The sequence below is a fragment of the Homo sapiens genome, chromosome 7 (genome assembly GCF_000001405.40).
Source record: "Homo sapiens chromosome 7, GRCh38.p14 Primary Assembly".
NCBI classification, from domain to species: Eukaryota; Metazoa; Chordata; class Mammalia; order Primates; family Hominidae; genus Homo; species Homo sapiens.
This window is the reverse complement of record NC_000007.14, coordinates 6,535,422-6,553,013: the sequence shown is the minus strand read 5'-3', so window position 1 is coordinate 6,553,013 and position 17,592 is coordinate 6,535,422. Positions and strand designations below refer to the sequence as shown.

Here is a 17,592-nt window from a genome sequence, read left to right as displayed (position 1 = left end):
TCTCCCCCAGGCTGGGTGCAGTGGCTCACATGTGTAATCCCAGCACTTTGGGAGGCTGAAGAAGGAGGATCGCTTGAGCCCAGAAGTTTGAGACCTGTCTGGGCAACATAGTGAGACCCCATTTCTATAAAAATTTTTTTTTAATTAGCTGGGCATGGTAGTATGCGCCTGTGATCCCAGCTACTCAGGAGGCTGAGGCAGGAGGATGACTTCAGCTTGGAAGGTCAAGGCTGCAGTGAGATATGATGGTGTTCCTGCATTCCAGACTGGGTGACAGAGTGAGACTTTGCCTCTAAAAAATAAAGCCCAAGAGGCTGGGCACGGTGGCTCACGCCTGTAATCACAGCACTTTGGGAGGCCAAGGCAGGTGGATCACCTGAGGTCAGGAGTTGGAGACCAGCCTGGCCAATATGGTGAAACCCTGTCTCTACTAAAAATACAAAAAGTAGCCGCGCATGGTGGTGGACACCTGTAATCCCAGCTATTCGGGAGGCTGAGGCAGGAGAATCGCTTGAACCCAGGAGTCAGAGGTTGCAGTGAGCCGAGATCACACCACTGCACTCCAGCCTGGGTGACAGAACAAGACTCTGTCTCAAAAATAAAATAAAATAAAATAAATGCCCAAAGATATGAATGGTCTCTGAGGGACCATTCTGCTCCAACATTCTGGACTTCCGTAAGTTTGTGATTCATGCCAGATCCCGAAAGGGAATTTTGGTAGATGGAGAGGGGTAAGAAGAGGGATTAAAGTGTAGGGAGTGAGGAGGGCCCATGGAAGCCAAGTGTACATGTAAGACAGTAAAACAGACCTGTGGAAGCAGGAGGGGCCCATGGAAAAGGATGTGGCCGCATTGGTTAAAAATCCAAGGCACTCAAAAGAAGACTTTAAGGAAGGGCCATTTTTCTTTTACACCCCCTCCCCAATTTTGTTTTTAGTAAAAACAAACAAACAAACAAACAAAAAACAAAAAAACAAGCCAGGCATGATGGTTCATGCCTGTAATCCTAGCACTTTGAGAGGCCAAGCAGGCAGATCACCTGAGGCCAGGAGTTCAAGACCAGCCTGGGTAACATAGTGAAACCCTGTCTCTACTAAAAATACAACAATTAGGCAAGCCAGGCACGGTGGCTCACGCCTGTAATCCCAGCATTTTGGGAGGCCAAGGCAGGCAGATCACCTAAGGTCAGGAGTTCGAGACCAGCCTGACCAACATGGAGAAACCCCGTCTCTACTAAAAATACAAAATTAGCCAGGCTTGGTGGCACATGCCTGTAATCCCAGCTTCTCAGGAGGCTGAGGCAGGAGAATCATTTGAACCCAGTAAGCGGAGGTTGCGGTGAGCTGAGATCACGCCATTGCACTCCAGCCTGGGCAACAAGAGCGAAACTCTGTCTTAAAAAAACAAAAACAAAACAAAACAAAAAAACATAGATGGAAGGGAATTGAGACAAAGACGGAGTCAGAGGGAGGAGGCAGAGATAAGTAGAGGCCTTCAGTGGCCCTGGGCCTTTGAGTGGCTTTGGAGCCATGGACAGAGCAGCAAGGAAATCCCTGTTCTGTCTCCAGTTCTAGGTGCATGGCCACCACTGCCACGCCGGCCACGAACCAGGGCTGGCCAGAGGACTTTGGCTTCCGGCTAGGTGGCTCTGGCCCCTGCTTCGTCCTGGAGGTGGCCAAGGGGAGCAGCGCGCATGCCGGAGGACTGCGGCCAGGAGACCAGATCCTGGAGGTGGAGGGGCTGGCGGTGGGCGGTCTGAGCCGCGAGCGCCTCGTGCGCCTGGCACGGCGCTGCCCACGTGTGCCGCCCAGTCTGGGCGTGCTCCCGGCTCCCGACGGTGGCCCCGGCCCAGGATCCGGCCCCGCGGCCCCGACCACAGTCTTGCGGGCCCCGCGGTGCGGCCGCGGCCTAGCTCTGGGCCGTGAGCTGCTTCGCCTGGCCGGCCGCAAGCGCCCGGACGCGGTGCACCGAGAGCGCAGGCGCAAGGCCCAAGAGTTCAGCCGCAAGGTAAGGCGCGGGGGTGGGAGGTGGGGGCGGGAAGGAGGGGGCTCATAATGTGGGCAGGGAGTGGGCCGGGCGCCGCTCTCCCAGGGCCAGAGGTAAGGAAACTTCTGGGGTCAGATTTAACAGAAATATGGGAATGCTCAACTTCAAAACCTTGCAAACAATTTTGCATTTTTTTTTTTTGAGACAGAGTCTCGCTCTGTCACCCAAGCTGGAGTGCAGTGGCCAGGTCTTGGCTCAGTACAACCTCTGCCTCCCAAGTTCAAGTGATTCTCCTGCCTCAGTCTTCCAGTAATTGAGATTACAGGCGTTTGCCACCACACCCAGCTAATTTTTTTTTTTTTTTTTTTTTTGGTATTTTTAGTAGAGACGGGGTTTCACCATGTTGGTCAGTCTGGTCTCAAACTCCTGACCTCAAGTGATCTGCCCACCTCTGCCTCCCAAAGTGCTGGGATTACAGGCATGAGCCACTGCGCCCGGCCTAATTTTGCAATTTTTATTCACTTGTGTTTCTTTTTTATTAAGGTACTATAGGTGTAAAGTGCATTAAGTGTGCAGCTCAATAAATTTTCCATATACATGCACCCTTGAATAACCACCCTCTTGATCAATATATAAAATAATAGGATATAGATAAAAATATAATGTAGACTATAGAATAATTGACACCAGAATGTTCCCACGTGCCCCTTTCTCTGTCTATCCTCCCCATTAGAACTTAACTGCAGGCCAGGTGCTAGATGTAATCCTAGCATTTTAGGAGACCAAGGTGGGAGGATCACTTGAGACCCTGAGTTCAAGGCCAGCCTGGGCAACGTAATGAGACACCATCTCTACAAAAAAAATCAAAAACTAGCTTGGCATGGTGGTGCATGCCTTATAGTCCCAGATACTCAGGAGACTGAGGCAGGAAGATCGCTTCAGCCTGGGAGTTTGAGGCTGCAGTGAGCCATGACTGCACCACTGCATTCCAGCCTGGGTAACGGAGTGAGACCGCATCTCTAAAATAAAAAGATAAAATAAAAAGAGCCACAGATATCGCTTCTTGGCCCTTCATCTAAGATCAAGTGTAAAAGAGCCAGTGGGGTGAGGTGGCTCACGCCTGTAATCCCAGCACTTTGGGAGGCTGAGGAGGGCTGATGACTTGAACTCAGGAGTTTGAGACCAGCCTGGGCAATGTGGTGAAATCCCATCACTATCAAAAATATAAAAAAAAAAAAAACCAGCCAGGTGTGGTGGCGCGCGCCTGTGGTGCCAGATACTCAAGGGTGTTGAGGTGGGAGGATTACTTGAGCTTGGGAGACGGAGGTTGCAGTGAGCTGAGATCATGCTACTGCACTGCAGCCTGAGTGACAGAGTGAGACTCCATTCCCCTCCCCGCCATTCCCCACCTCCAAAAAAATGTAAAAGAATTCCGCCTGTTCTAAGCCCCCACAAAACCAGGATTAGACCTGCCCTTGCACAGCGGCCTGGCTGGCTTGTTGGCTGCAGGAGGCCCTAGTTTGGCTTCACCAATCTGCCAAAGGCATTTCCTCTTGACTTTGGCACAAACCAGGCTGTGATAGACTGCAGGTGGAATATTAGCGTGGTCCTGAAGATTAAGAATGAGGAGCCTGGAATGGATCAGACCTCTAGCCACAAGAAGAACCCAAGGCCTGAGTCACCTGCAGGAAGTAGGGTGTGGCCACAAGCCAAGATGGAGGCACCATTTAGAGACCCAGGGCTGGGATGGAAAGAGGGAGGATAGAGTCGGTCTCAGGCCTGAATCCCAAGCAACCCCTGATTTGCAGGAACCTGCCATTTACTGGACAGATCCAGGCAATTCCAAGAAACCTGGGACGTGACATGGTTATAAAAGAAGAAGCTGCCTAGTATGGTTACAGCTACCCCAGGCCACTGACTAGGTCCCAGTACAGCAACCTCCCATGCCATTCACCTTCACTCCTGTCCTCCAGGGCTTTCAGATGGGGTCCTAAGGCCTTTATTTCACTAATACTTGAATGGAACAAAAAGTGATCCTGTGTGCGACTAGGAAATAGTCCGGAGCCAAGACACTCAGTCCCTACCCCTGCCTGGCTATCGGACCCCTGTGGACATGAAGCCTGGAAACTCAGTATTTGCTTGGCGGCTGGGACACTTAAGCTCATAGACTTTTTTTTTTTTTTTTTTGAGGCAGAGTCTCGCTCTGTCACCCAGGCTGGAGTGCAGTGGTGTGATCTCGGCTCACTGCAACCTCCACCTCCTGGGTTCAAGTGATTCTCCTGCCTCAGCCTCCCGCGTAGCTGGGATTACAGGCGTACCCCACCATGGCCAGCTATTTTTTTTTTCTGTATTCTTAGTAGAGATGGGGTTTCACCATATTGGTCAGGCTGGTCTTGAACTCCTGACCTCGTGATCCATCTGCTGCGGCCTCCCAGAGTGCTGGGATTACAGGCGTGAGCCACCGCATCTGGCCAACTTTTTTTACATTATTTTGATTTTTAATTTTTGTGGGTACCTAATACGTGTATATATTTATGGGGTATCTGAGATACTCTAATACAGGCATGCAATGTGAAATAAGCATGTCATGGAGAATGGGGTACCCATCCCCTCAAGCATTTATCTTTTGAGTTATAAACAATCCATCTACACCGTTTAAGTTTGTATTTATTTTTTTTGGAGCCAGAGTCTCGCTCTGTTGCCCAGGGAATACAGTGGTACGATCTCGGCTCACTGCAACCTCCGCCTCCCGGGTTTAAGCAATTCTCCTGGCTCAGCCTCCCAAGGAGCTGGGATTACAGGCCCCCACCACCATGCCTGGCTAATTTTTGTATTTATAGTAGAGACACGGTTTCACTATGTTGTCCAGGCTGGTCTTGAACTCCTGACCTCAGGAGATCTGCCTACCTCGGCCTTCCAAAAGTGCTGGAATTACAGGTGTGAGCTACTGCACCTGGCCTAAGTTATTTTAAAATGGACAATTAAGTTATTATTGGCTATAGTCACCCTGTTGTGTTATCAAGCTCACAGACTTTTCCTCCGTGGAAGGGAATCTGCTCAGTTCTGCCCCAGCAGCACTTGGCCATGGGGTTTGGGAGGTCAGGGAGCCTGGAAACTTTGTCGGAGTTTGACTATTGCAGAAATGCCTCCCAGCCCACTGCCCAGGCATCAGGTCCCCACCCACTCTGGCCTCCTTCAGTGCCCAAGCTTGGTCCAGTCCTAACCCCTTCCAAATTAACCCCCTCAGGAGTGTCTCCTCCATCATGTACCCTAGCCTGATCCCCTGAATGGGCTTTTCTGACCCTGAGTAGACCAGCCTCTGTGGCCAGATACACACACTCGCATACACACAGGACTCAACTCCAGCTTCCCTACATCACCAAAGTCCAGATCTTCCAAAGCTGTGACTTTCTTCCTGTACCCACAACAGGCTCTGCTGCTATAACAAACAAACCCAACATTTTTTATTGTTGTTGTTTTTGAGACAGGGTCTAGCTCTGTTGCCCAGATTGGAGTGCAGTGGTACAATCATAGCTCACTACAGCCTCCAACTCCTGGGCTCAAGTGATCCTCCTGCCTCAGCCTCTCTAGTAGCTGGGACCACAGGTGTGCACCACCACACCTGGCTGATTAAGAAAAAAAAAAAAGACTGGGGAGATGAGGTCTTGCTATGTTGCCCAGGCTAGTCTCAAACTCCTGGCCTCAAGCAATTCTCCTGCCTCAGCCTCCCAAAGTGCTGGGATTATAGGTGTGAGCCACTGTGCCTGACCCAAAATCAACAACTTAGTGCGTTTGCACTACAGAAGTTTACTTTTCACCCACAGAGTCCTCTAGGGGGTCAGTAGACTTTCTAGGGTGGCTTGATGTCCATACGAGGTCTCAGCATTTCAGACTCCTCCATCTCTATGTGAAGCTTCAGGGTTCCCTATGGAAGAGGAAGAGAGCTTGGAAAATTGTGCATCTCCTCTTAGAACAGCACCTGTCCTCAATGCTCATTGGGCAGAACTAGGTACACTGCTCCTCCCTAAGGATGCTGGGAAATGTAGTCTAATGTGTGTCCAGGAAAGAGGGAAGACCTAGAAATATTGGTGAGTGCGAGTAATGCCTGCTACAATCCCAGATCACCTGCCATGGAGCCAAAGGTCTATCCCAGACTCCATCTAATCCCTGCAGAGTTGGAAGGGGGCACGTTCAGAGCTCCAAACAGGGCAGGATGCAAGAGAAGACCTGCCCAGGAGCAGGGCTGGGCAGCAACCCGCTGAGGGTAGAATCCGACAGGCTGCCCAGGCCAGCTGCAGTGTGTTTTCTGGCAAGGAGGAACGGGGAAGTGGAGGATTTTGGTTAGGGCTCGCTGGGCACCCACAAAAGCTGAGAGTGAATCTCCAAAAATGACTTCCTCTGGAAGATGAAGGGCCTCCGTGGAGCCCAGTTGGTTTTCTATCTTTTTTTTTTTTTTTTTGAGACAGAGTTTCGCTCTTGTTGCCCAGGCTGGAGTGCAATGGCGTGATCTTGGCTCACTGCAACCTCCGCCTCCTGGGTTCAAGCAATTCTCCTGCCTCAGCCTCCCAAGAAGCTGGGATTACAGGCATGTACCACCACGCCCGGCTAATTTTGTATTTTTTTTAGTAGAGACAGGCCAGGCTTGGTGGCTTGGCTGGGCACGGTGGCTCACACCTGTAATCCCAGCACTTTGGGAGGCCGAGGCAGGCAGGTCACCTGAGGTCAGGAGTTCAAGTAGAGATGGGGTTTCACCATGTTGGTCAAGCTAGTCGCAAACTCCTGACCTCAGGTGATCCACCTGCCTCTGCCTTCCAAAGTGCTGGGATTACAGGCATGAGCCACTGCGCCAGACTGGTTGGTTTTCAATCACCAGCCCTCCAGTTCTCGCCTGCGCTTTCTGCCTGCCCCAGTTTTTCCTCCTTGAAGTGGCTGATATTTAATAGAAAATCCATTAGTGTCCCGTGATGATACCTCATGCTTAGATGTAGGCTGAGAACATCTGGGTAATAACTGACACCGAAACCGCACTGTAGCACGGGCCCCAGGAGGGAGGAACTATTTTTTCCTCTTTCTTACATAAAACATCTCTGCAGCCAGCCATGTTCTCCTTTGAATTGAGGTTGCTGCTGACTTTGATTTCCAAACTGGCAACCTTCCCCAGCACGGCGCGTGCGTGGGGAGGGGGCGGCTGGTGCTGCCAGCCTGGCCCACTCACAGGGAGGGAAACAGTGGTGAGCTGGGGCCTGCAGGAAGTGCAATGCAAGGCTGCTTTTTGATTCAGTCCCATCCACATTCTCTGAGTGCCTAATATGTGCCAGGCGCTGTGCTTGGGGCTGGACAAGCATGAGACCCCGGATCATCACACCTGGGTGGGGGAGACAGACGGTTACACAGACTCATGGTGCATCTGTGCTAGGATTCAGACGTGTACAGAACGTGGCCTCTGACTGGAAACCCTCGAAGCTTCCCGCTACTTCTCCTCCCCTTTTGGAATCATCTAGAAAGCGGGTGGATATACAGTTCCAGAGTTCAAGAGCGAGCTCTCGGCTGAAGATCGAGGTCTGAGAGTCACTGTCTGGGGTTCTTCGCCAGAGCTGGGTCGTGGAGAGCCTCAAGTGCAATAGTGAACTGCAGTGGCAAAGGGCAGTGGTACAGAAACAGCACGTGTAGACGGCTCCAGACTACAGAAGGGAGGAGAATGAGCAGCTTTCAGGATCAAAGGAGGATTGTCTTTTATTTATTTATTTATGGAGACAGGGTCTTGATCTGTCACCCAGGCTGGAGCTCAGTGGTGTGATCATGGCTTACTGCAGCCTTGATTTCCCGGGCACAAGAGATCCTCCTACCTCGGCCTCCCAAGTATCTGGTAGCTGGGAATACAAGCGTGCACCACCATATCTGGCTAACTTTTTACTTTTTCTTTTCTTTCTTTTTTTTCTTTTGAGATGGAGTCTGTCTCTGTCACCCAGGCTGGAGTGCAGTGGCGCGATCTCGGCTTACTGCAAGCTCCGCCTCCCGGGTTCACACCATTCTCCTGCCTCAGCCTCCCGAGTAGCTGGGACTACAGGCGCCCGCCATCACGCCCACCTGGCTAATTTTTTTTCTATTTTTAGTAGAGACGGGGTTTCACCGTGTCAGTTGGGATGGTCTCGATCTCCTGACCTTGTGATCCGCCTGCCTCGGCCTCCCAAAGTGCTGGGATTACAGGCATGAGCCACCGCGCCCGGCTGTCTTTCATTTTTTAGAGACAGGGTCTGGTTATGTTGCCCAGGCTGGTCTCCAACTCCTGGCCTCAAGTGATCCTCCCGCCTTGTCCTCCCAAAGCTCTGGGATTATAGGCATGAGCTGCTGTGCCCAGCTTGTTATTTATTTATTTATAGCCTGAGAGAGACTTGAACATTTATATAAGCTGCAGGGAATGGAGAAGTAGATATACTGAAAACCATGCAGGCCGGGCACAGTGGCTCACACCTGTAAACCCAGCACATTGGGAGGCTGAGGCGGGTGGATCACCTGAGGTCAGGAGCTCGAGACTGCCTGGCCAACATGGAGAAACCCTGTCTCTACTAAAAACACAAAACATTAGCTGGTTGTGGTGGCGGGTGCCTGTAATCCCAGCTACTCAGGAGGGTGAGGCAGGAGCGTCGCTTGAACCCGGGAGGCAGAGGTTGCAATGAGCCGAGATCATGCCATTGCACTCCAGCCTGGGCAATAAGAGTGACACTCCATCTCAAAAAAAACAGAAAGAAAAAAGAAAAAGAAAACCATGCATTTACCAGTCATTGATCATGGGCCTATGATGTGCAGGACAGGGGAAACAGCCATGAACAACACAGGCAAGGAGCCTGACTTCACACACCTAACATTACTGCAGGGAAAGAGACAGTAAGCAAGTGGATTAATCAATACACAAGCTATTAAAGATCATGACAGGCCAGGCACGATGGCTCAGACGTGTAATTCCAACACTTTGGGAGGCCGAGGTGGGAGGATCACCTGAGGTCAGGAGTTTGAGACCAGCCTGGCCAACATGGTGAAACCCCATCTCTACAAAAATTACCAAAATGAGCCGGGCGTGGTGGCATTTGCCTATAATCCCAGCTACTTGGGAGGCTGAGTCAGGAGAACTGCTTGAACTCAGGAGGTGGAGGTTGCAGTGAGCCAAGATCCCACCACTGCACAGAGCGACAGAGTGAGCGACAGAGTGAGACTTTCTCTCAAATAATAATAATAATAATAAAATTAAATTAAATTAGCCAAGCACAGTGGCGTGCACCTGTGATCCTGGCTACTCGGAAGGCAGAGGTGGGAGGATCGCTTGAACACAGGAGTTCAAGGCCACAGGGAGCTATGATTGCACCACTGCACTCCAGCCTGGGCAACAGAGCAAGACCCTGACTCCAGAAAAAAAAAGATGATGATGAATAAAGTGGAGGCATAAATAGGGTGAGGTGAGAGTGACGCAACCCACTTTGACAGGGTGGCCAGGAAAGGCTGCCTGATGAGATGATCTTTGAGCTGAAAGCTGAATGACAAGTAGGTGGCAGGAAGAAAGGGGTGGAGACTGGGAATGGTGAGGTGTCTGTGGCCTGGTGATTTGGCCTTGACTACAAAGGGGGCTTTTTTTTTTTTTGAGACAGAGCCTCGCTCTGTCACCAGGCTGGAGTGCAGTGGCACGATCTTGGCTCACTGCAACCTCCGCCTCCCAGGCTCAAGCAATTCTCCTGCCTCAGCCTCCCGAGTAACTGGGATTACAGGCGTTTGCCATCAGATGCTCAGCTAATTTTTGTATTTGTAGTAGAGATGGGGTTTCACCATGTTGGCCAGGCTGGTCTCGAACTCCTAACTTCAGATGATCCACCCACCTTCGCCTCCCAAAGTGCTGGGATGACAGCCGTGAGCCACCGCACCCGGCCGGAAGTGGGCCTCTTCAACCTCTGAGAGCAGAGGATGGAAGGGAAGGATGCGGAGTCTGTTGAGAAGTTTGGAGGTGGATGAGGGTGAGAGAGGCGGGGCCTGACAGCCCCAGTTCAGGCTGAAGTTGCACCCACAAGTCCTCGAGAGAGGGAGACGTGAACGACTCATGGACTCACTCAGCCGCCCAGCCTTGCTTCAGGGTCAGCTCCAGCTGTCAGTGCCCAGAGACAACCAGACCCTCAGCCAACAAGGGAAGGGTCTCATGGAGTATGTGCTTTCAGTGGCTAAACTGTATGACATGTGGGCAATTCGATGGTTTTTAATATATTCACAGGATTGTAACACCCATCACTACCATCCATTTTCAAACAATTTCATCACTCTAACAAGAAATTCTGCACTCCTTAGCCATCACTCCCTATTTCATGGTTTTATTTTCTTATTTATTTATTGAAATGGGGTCTTGATCTGTTGCCCAGACTGTATAGTGCAGTGGCACAATCTTGGCTCACTGCAGCCTCAACTTCCTGAGCTCAAGTGATCCTCTCACTTCAGCCTCACAAGTAGCTGAGACTACAGGCATGCACCACCACATCTGGCTAATTTAAAAAAAATTTGTTTGTAGAAATGGGGTCATGCTATGTTGCCCAGGATGGTCTTGAATTCCTGGTCTCAAACAATCCTCCTGCCTCGATCTCCCTAAGCACTGGGATTACAGGTGTGAACCATTGCCCCCAGCCCTGCCAGGATCTTGCCTCCCACCTACTTTGGGATTTTCTTTTTTCTTTTTTTTTTTTTTTTTTTTGAGATGGAGTTTTTGCTCTTGTTGCCTAGGCTGGAGTACAATGGCAAGATCTCGACTCACTGCAACCTCCGACTCCTGGGTTCAAGCGATTCTCCTGCCTCAGCCTCCCGAGTAGCTGGGATGAATAAAGGCACCCACCACCACGTCTGGCTAATTTTTGTATTTTTAGTAGAGACGGGGTTTCACCATGTTGGCCAGGCTGGTCTCAAACACCTGACCTCAGATGATCCGCCCCCCTTGGCCTCCCAAAGTGCTGGGATTACAGGTGTGAGCCACCGCGCCTGGCTGAGATTTTCCTCTTTGTTTTTGGCCTAGATAGCCAAGAAACTACAAATATCTCCCACATGGATGTACTGCAATTATTTAGCCCCCACTGTCAGATATTTATATTGCTGCCAACGTCTTAGTGTTAGAAATAATACACAGGTGAACCACCTCACTCATACATCATCGTGCATGTGTCTTGTCAGGATGTGTGTAAGATAAATTCCTACATGTGAGATCATTGGGTAGAAGGATGGGCTTTGGACACACTTAACAACCTGCCTTCCAGAAACGTGACCATTTGCATGCTCATTTCCAACATGACCATTTGCATGCTCATTTCCAATGTGCCCATTTGCACACTCGTTTCCAACGTGTGCATTTGCACGCTCGTTTCCACCATGTCTATTTGCATGCTCCTTTCCAACGTGATCATTTGCACACGTTTCCAACGTGTCCATTTGCACGCTCATTTCCAATGGCCACACACTCCTGTGTGCAGATGTGCCTTGATTAGTATCAGCTGGTTTGTGGACAAAGACAAAAGTTTGGAGAGAGAACTGAGGGAGTCAAAATTCAGGGCCAAGCTGACGTGCCAGGACTTTTTTTGTGGAGTCAGAATGTTCTGTGTGGGATCTCTCAGCGCACAGTATGGAAGGGAGTGTAGTATTATAATAATAGTAACTAGCAATTACTGAATGTGTGGTGTGGTTTTAAGCTTTTATATTAATTCCTTTGATCTTTACGATATTTATTAGAACAGCTCTCTTTGGGTTTGAATCCTGACCCTTCACTTTCACCCCGTGACGCCGTCACCTCTACCAGCCTCAGTTTCCTTACATGGAAAATGAAGATGCTGGCCAAGAGAGGTGGCTCACACCTGTAATCCCAGCACCTTGGGAGGCCGTGGTGGAAGGATCACTTGAACCCAAAAGTTTGAGATCAGCCTGGGCAATATAGCAAGACTCCATCTCTATAGAAAAAAAAAATTTAATTAGCCAGTTCTCTTTAAGTAGATGAGGGATTATAAAAAAACAGATTAGCCAAGCATGTAGGCACATACTTGTGGTCCCAGCTACTCGGGAGGCTAAAGAGGGAGGATCACTTGAGCCCAGGAGGTGGAAGCTGCAGTAAGTTATAATCACACCACTGCACTCCAGCCTAGACAACAGAGTGAGATGATACCTCTCAAAAATTAAATTAAAATAAATTGGCTGTGTGCGGTGGTTGACACCTGTAATCCCAGCACTTTGGGAGCCCAAGGTGGGTGGGTCACCTGAGGCCAGGAGTTTGAGACCAGCCTGGCCAACATGGTAAAACCCCATCTCTACTAAAAAAAAAAAAAAAAAAAAAAATTAGCCAGGTGTGGTCACAGGTGCCTGTAATCCCAGCTACTTGGGAGGCTGAGGCAGGAGAATCTCTTGAACTTGGGAGGCGGAGGTTGCAGTGAATCAAGATTGAGCCACCGCACCCCAGCCTGGGTGGCAGAGTGAGACTCTGTCACAAAAAATAAATAAATAAATAACAATAAATTAAAAATTAAATTAAAATAAATAAATAAAATGAAGATACTAACCATGCGACCAGGCCCTCTTCGCAGGGCAGATACATGGTTAGAAATGGCATGATATGGCCGGCCGCGGTGGCTCACGCTTGTAATCCCAGCACCTTGGGAGGCCGAGGCGGGCGGATCACCTGAGGTTGGGAGTTCAAAACTAGCCTGACCAACATGGAGAAACCCTGTCTGTACTAAAAATACAAAATCAGCCGGGCGTGGTGGCGCATGCCTGTAATCCCAGCTACTCAGGAGGCTGAGGCAGGAGAATCGCTTGAACCTGGGAGATGGAGGTTCTAGTGTGCCAAGATTGCACCACTGCACTGCAGCCTGGTAACAAACTGAAACTCCGTCTCAAAAAGAAAGGAAGGGAAGGGAGGGGAGGGGAGGGGAGGGGAGGGGAAGGGAAGAAGGAAGGGAGGAAGGAAGAAAGGAAGGAAGAGAGAAAGAGAAAGGAAGGAAGGAAGGGGCATGATATGGGCATAGCACTCAGGTGGTACGCCCACGTCAGCCATCCCGTGTAGGTAAACTGAGGGAGGAAAGGAAGGAGGAGAGCAGTTCTCCAGGGTTCCACTCTGGATCCCTTTTGGTCATTCACAGGACTCCTCCTTGCAGGTGGATGAAATCTTGGGGGACCAGCCAACTGCCAAGGAGCAGGTGTTCGCTGCACTGAAGCAGTTTGCAGCTGAGCAGCGGGTGGATGATCTGGTGTGGACTCTCACCCTGGCGCTGCCCCGAGAGGCCTGCGGGCCACTCCTGGACAACCTCAGGTACTGCGGGCAGGGGGCAGGATAGACAGGCAGGGTGGGTCTCACTTAGAGCCATCATTCCCTCACAACCACCCCAGGCACCCCTTCCAGCCCAGGTGGGAGATAATAGATGGTAGCCTGCTCTTGAACAGCATCGCAACATAACTGCAAGCCCCAAACAAGGGTAGGCCAATGACCCTGAGAAGGCAGCTGTTGGCTCTGCCAGATGCCAGGGTACCACCTTGAGTGATGGGAGAAGGGCCAGGACAGACCTCAGAAAGGATCCACCTTCTGATCCAAAGTCACCACCTTGGCCAGGCATGGTGGCTGCTGCCTGTAATCCACGTGCTTTGGGAGGCTGAGGTGGGAGAACCGCTTGAGGCCAGGAGTTGAAGACCAGCCCACGCAACATAGAAAGACCCCATGTCTATAAAATATAAAAATTAACTGGGTGTGGTGGTGCATGCTTGTAGTCCCAGCTACTTGGGAGGCTGAGGCTGGAGGATTGCTTGAACCCAGGAGGGTGGGGCTGCAGTGAGCTATGATTGTGCCACTGCACTCCAGCCTGGATGACAGAGCAAGACACTGTCTCAAAAAAAAAAAAAGGTCACAGTCTGCCCTGCTCCACCCCAAAACCTAGATTGTAAAAATCTCCAACAGGATACCAGACACTTCCAATTCTTTATTGAGACAGGATAATGGCACAATGTGAGGGCAGGGAAGCCCAGGACTGTGCCATGTGGGGCTCCAGTACCCCCTCGACCTCCACCCTACAAACCATGTGTGCTCTTGGCCCTTTGATTTCCTTTCTTTCCTTTCTTCTCTCTCTCTCTCTTTCTCTCTTTCTTTCATCTTCCTTTCTTTTCAGACAGAGTCTCACTCTATCGCCCAGGCTGGAGTGCAGTGGCGTGATCTCGGCTCACTGCAACCTCTGCCTCCCCGGTTCAAGCAATTCTCCTGCCTCAACCTCCCGAGTAGTTGAGACTACAGGTGCCACTACGCCCAGCTAATTTTCATATTTTTAGTAAAGATGGGGTGTCACCATGTTGGCCAGGCTGGTCTCCAACTCCTGACCTCAAGTGATCCACCCACCTCGGCCTCCCAAAGTGTGTGGATTACAGACGTGAGCCACTGTACCCGGCCTGATTACTTTTCTTGTTTTGTTTTGTTTTGAGACAGGGTCTCGCTCTGTCGCCCAGGCAGGAGGGCAGTGCCATGATCTTGGCTCACTGCAGCCTCCAACTCCTGACCTCAAGTGATTCACCCACCTCAGCTTCCCAAAGTGTGTGGATTATAGGCGTGAGCCACTGTACCCGGCCTGATTACTTTTCTTGTTTTGTTTTGTTTTGTTTTGTTTTGTTTTGTTTTGTTTTGAGACAGGGTCTCGCTCTGTCACCCAGGCAGGAGGGTAGTGCCATGATCTTGGCTCACTGCAGCCTCCAACTCCTGGGCTCAAGTGATCCTCCTGCCACAGCCTCCTGAGTAGCTGGGACTTCAGGTGCGTGCCACCATGCCCAGCTAATTTTTGTATTTTTTTAGAGATGAGGTTTCGCCATGTTGTCCAGGCTGGCCTCAAACTCCTGAGCTCAGTCAATCGCCCACCATGGCCTCCCAAAGTGCTGGAGTTACAGGCATGAGCCACGGTGCCCGACCCTTTGGTGATGATGATGAATGTGTGCCAAGGACCTCAGCAGACACTAGAGGAACACTCTTTCACTGAATCACCCAAGAGCTGTTATTAACCCCATTTCCCAGAGACAGACTGAGGCTCGGAGAGGTTAAGAGGCTGGCCTGAAGCCACACAGCAAATTGGTAGCAGTCACAGGACCACGAGCAGGGTCAGCAGTGCACTTTCTGCTCTTCCGCTCTGTTTTGCTCGAAGCTTTTTTGAATCGGAGTCTCGCTCTGTCATCCAGGCTGGAGTGCAGTGGCATGATCTTGGCTTACTGCAACATCTGCCTCCCGGGTTCAAGTGATTCTCCTGCCTCAGCCTCCCAAGTAGCTGGGTGCCACGATGCCACGCTTGGCTAATTTTTGTATTTTTAGGAAAGACGAGGTCTCAGCCGGGCACAGTGGCTCACACCTGTAATCCCAGCACTTTGGGAGGCCGAGGCGGGCAGATCATGAGATCAGGAGTTCGAGACTAGCCTGGCCAACATAGTGAAACCCCCATCTCTACTAAAAATACAAAAAATTAGCAGGTTGTGGTGGCGGGCGCCTGTAATCCTAGCTACTGGGGAGGCTGAGGCAGGAGAATCACTTGAACCCAGGAGAGGGAGGTTGCGGTGAGCTGAGATCACGACACTGCACTCCAGCCCTGCCAACAGAGCAAGACTCTGTCTCAAAAAAAAAAAAAAAAAAAAAAAAAGGTCTCACCATATTTGCCAGGCTGGTCTCGAACTCCTGACCTAAAATGATCCGCCCGCCTCAGCCTCCCAAAATGCTGGGATTACAGGCGTGAGCCACCGTGCCCGGCCTGCTCTCAGTTTATTTGTCAGAAGAAAAAAAATACTGGTGGGTCCTCACCTGGAGGGACCCAGGAGTCTCCTGACTCCACTTCCATCCTTGGAGGCCCTCCCTGCCTGCCCAGCTTGGACCAAACCCCCTCTGGGCTGGACTGCTGTTCTCCCTCCCCGGATCCCGCCGGGTTTCCCTCCTCACCCAGCCTCCTGGGCCTGCGACTGCTCCTCCATCCCTCCCCTCCCTCTTCCCGGACTCAGCCCGCCCCCTCCCCTTGCTGCCATTCACCCCGCAGCCTGCCCCTCCCTCTGGGCCTGGCCAATGTCAGGGACTGGGCTGGCCACCCTCCCCGCCGCCCCCCCGCCCACCCCAGCCCCGGCGCAGCTCTCGGCTCTGCAGCGGAGCATAGGCGACCACCACCGAAAGAGGCCACCATGAGCTGCCTGGGGTGAGTAAGGGGTGAGCCCCTTGCTAGGAGAATCAGAAGAGGGGAAAAAAGGAAAAAAGTTATTTCTAGAGCCGAATTTGCCGCGGAGATGATGCGCTGGCTCTGAGCGCTTCCTGGGGAGCTGATTGACAGGCAGCCCCCCGTCCCGCCCCTCCCCACCAGGGATGGGCCAGCGGGGCGCAGGCGGCCCAGCTGTCCCCCAGGAAGTTGGCTCGCTCGTCTCCCGGCTGCTGGCAGCCGGGCTCGGCTGGAGGCCCTCTCGGTTCTCCTCTCCCACAGCGCTGCCGGTGTCTGTTCCTGCCCCCTCCCGGGCCAGCCCGCCTGCCCCCCGGGACAGCCCCATGCCCGCCTTTCCCAGCCGCCGCTGGTCCCCAAGCCGCCGGCAGCTGCGGCAGCGGGTCGGGCAGGGCGCGGGAGGGGGAACCCCCTTGGGCGCGCTCGATTTAGAGCCTGGGCAGCGGGAGCCCTGGACACCTGGGGATGCCCAGTCCCCGCAGCTTGAAACGGCAGCCTCTGCTGTAAGCGCGTGTCAAGTGCGCCAGGAAAACTGGGGAGGCTGCTGGAGGAAGGGGCGGCGCCCAGCTGGGCTCCGCAAGGAGAATGTTACCCTGGCAGTAGGGCTTCAGCCACCCCGCACCTCTTCAAACCCCCTACTTCCCAACAACCCCCTCCCCAGGGCTGGCCAGTCACCCATGGCCCCATAGTGTGCTGGCCTCTAGGGTGGCAGCGATCTCTGGGCAGCCCCATCTGGAGAGAGGTCAGAGGGGGCATGGAGAAGCCACAGACGCAGCTGTGATTCCCAGGGTTGGGTGCCAGTTGATGGCTAACTCAGCACAGAGCAACCAGGGCAGGCTTCTTGGAGGAGGCAGCAGGAGGTGGCGGTGCTGTGGCTTAGTGACTGGTGGAGTCTGGTGGTGCGTCCTGTAGATGTGGGAGGACAGTCCCCAAGGAGAGTTCGGATGGGCCAGGTGCTAGCCATACAGGGTGAGGGCAGTGCCGCCCTGGCCTATGGCATCCAACAGCCCCCAGCTGTGAACCACCCAACAGGGAGTAGAGGGGACCACAGAGAGCCACCACTTGGGCCCTAAGACCCCACATTGAGGAGAGACAAGGTTTAATTTTTTTAAGAATTTATAAATAGAGACAGGGTCTCACTATGTTGCCCAGGTTGGCCTGGCCTCAAGAGATCCTCCCATCTCAGCCTCCCAAAGTGCTGGGATTACAGGTGTGAGCCACTGTGCCCCACCAAGAGGTAAGGTTTAAGTGAGAGGTTGAACAGCCAAAGGGTGGTAGGCAAAAAAATATACACGTGTGTGTGTGTCAGAGATCTGCAAGGAGGCCAGGACCCACCCAAATCAGAGAGGTGTGGCCTCACTAAAGGGTGATCCCAGTGGCCAAAATAGAAGGCT

The 17,592-nt window shown here is 52.0% G+C and overlaps 1 protein-coding gene across 3 annotated transcripts in view, besides 1 other annotated feature; it reads left to right on the top strand.

Annotated features, from left to right (window-relative positions):
• Window positions 1–1,552: 1,552 nt before the first annotated feature.
• Window positions 1,553–17,592, top strand: part of GRID2IP (Grid2 interacting protein) — a 54,684-nt gene continuing 38,644 nt past the window's right edge. For 2 of the 3 annotated variants that reach the window (NM_001388403.1, XM_047420365.1), the window contains exon 1: window positions 16,131–16,183. In NM_001388403.1, coding sequence (NP_001375332.1) covers window positions 16,170–16,183 — 14 coding nt within the window. In that variant the 5' untranslated portion in view covers window positions 16,131–16,169. Of the gene's footprint in view, window positions 2,007–13,141; window positions 13,297–16,130; window positions 16,184–17,592 lie in introns of those variants that run through there. The other variant, NM_001145118.2, reaches the window with a different exon arrangement.
• Window positions 15,305–16,284: an enhancer, noted in NCBI's record as "H3K27ac-H3K4me1 hESC enhancer chr7:6576361-6577340 (GRCh37/hg19 assembly coordinates)". NCBI's record gives its function as "activates a minimal SCP1, AML or CMV promoter by ChIP-STARR-seq in naive H9 embryonic stem cells {active_cell/tissue: H9 hESC(naive)}" and the evidence as "EXISTENCE:reporter gene assay evidence [ECO:0000049][PMID:30033119]".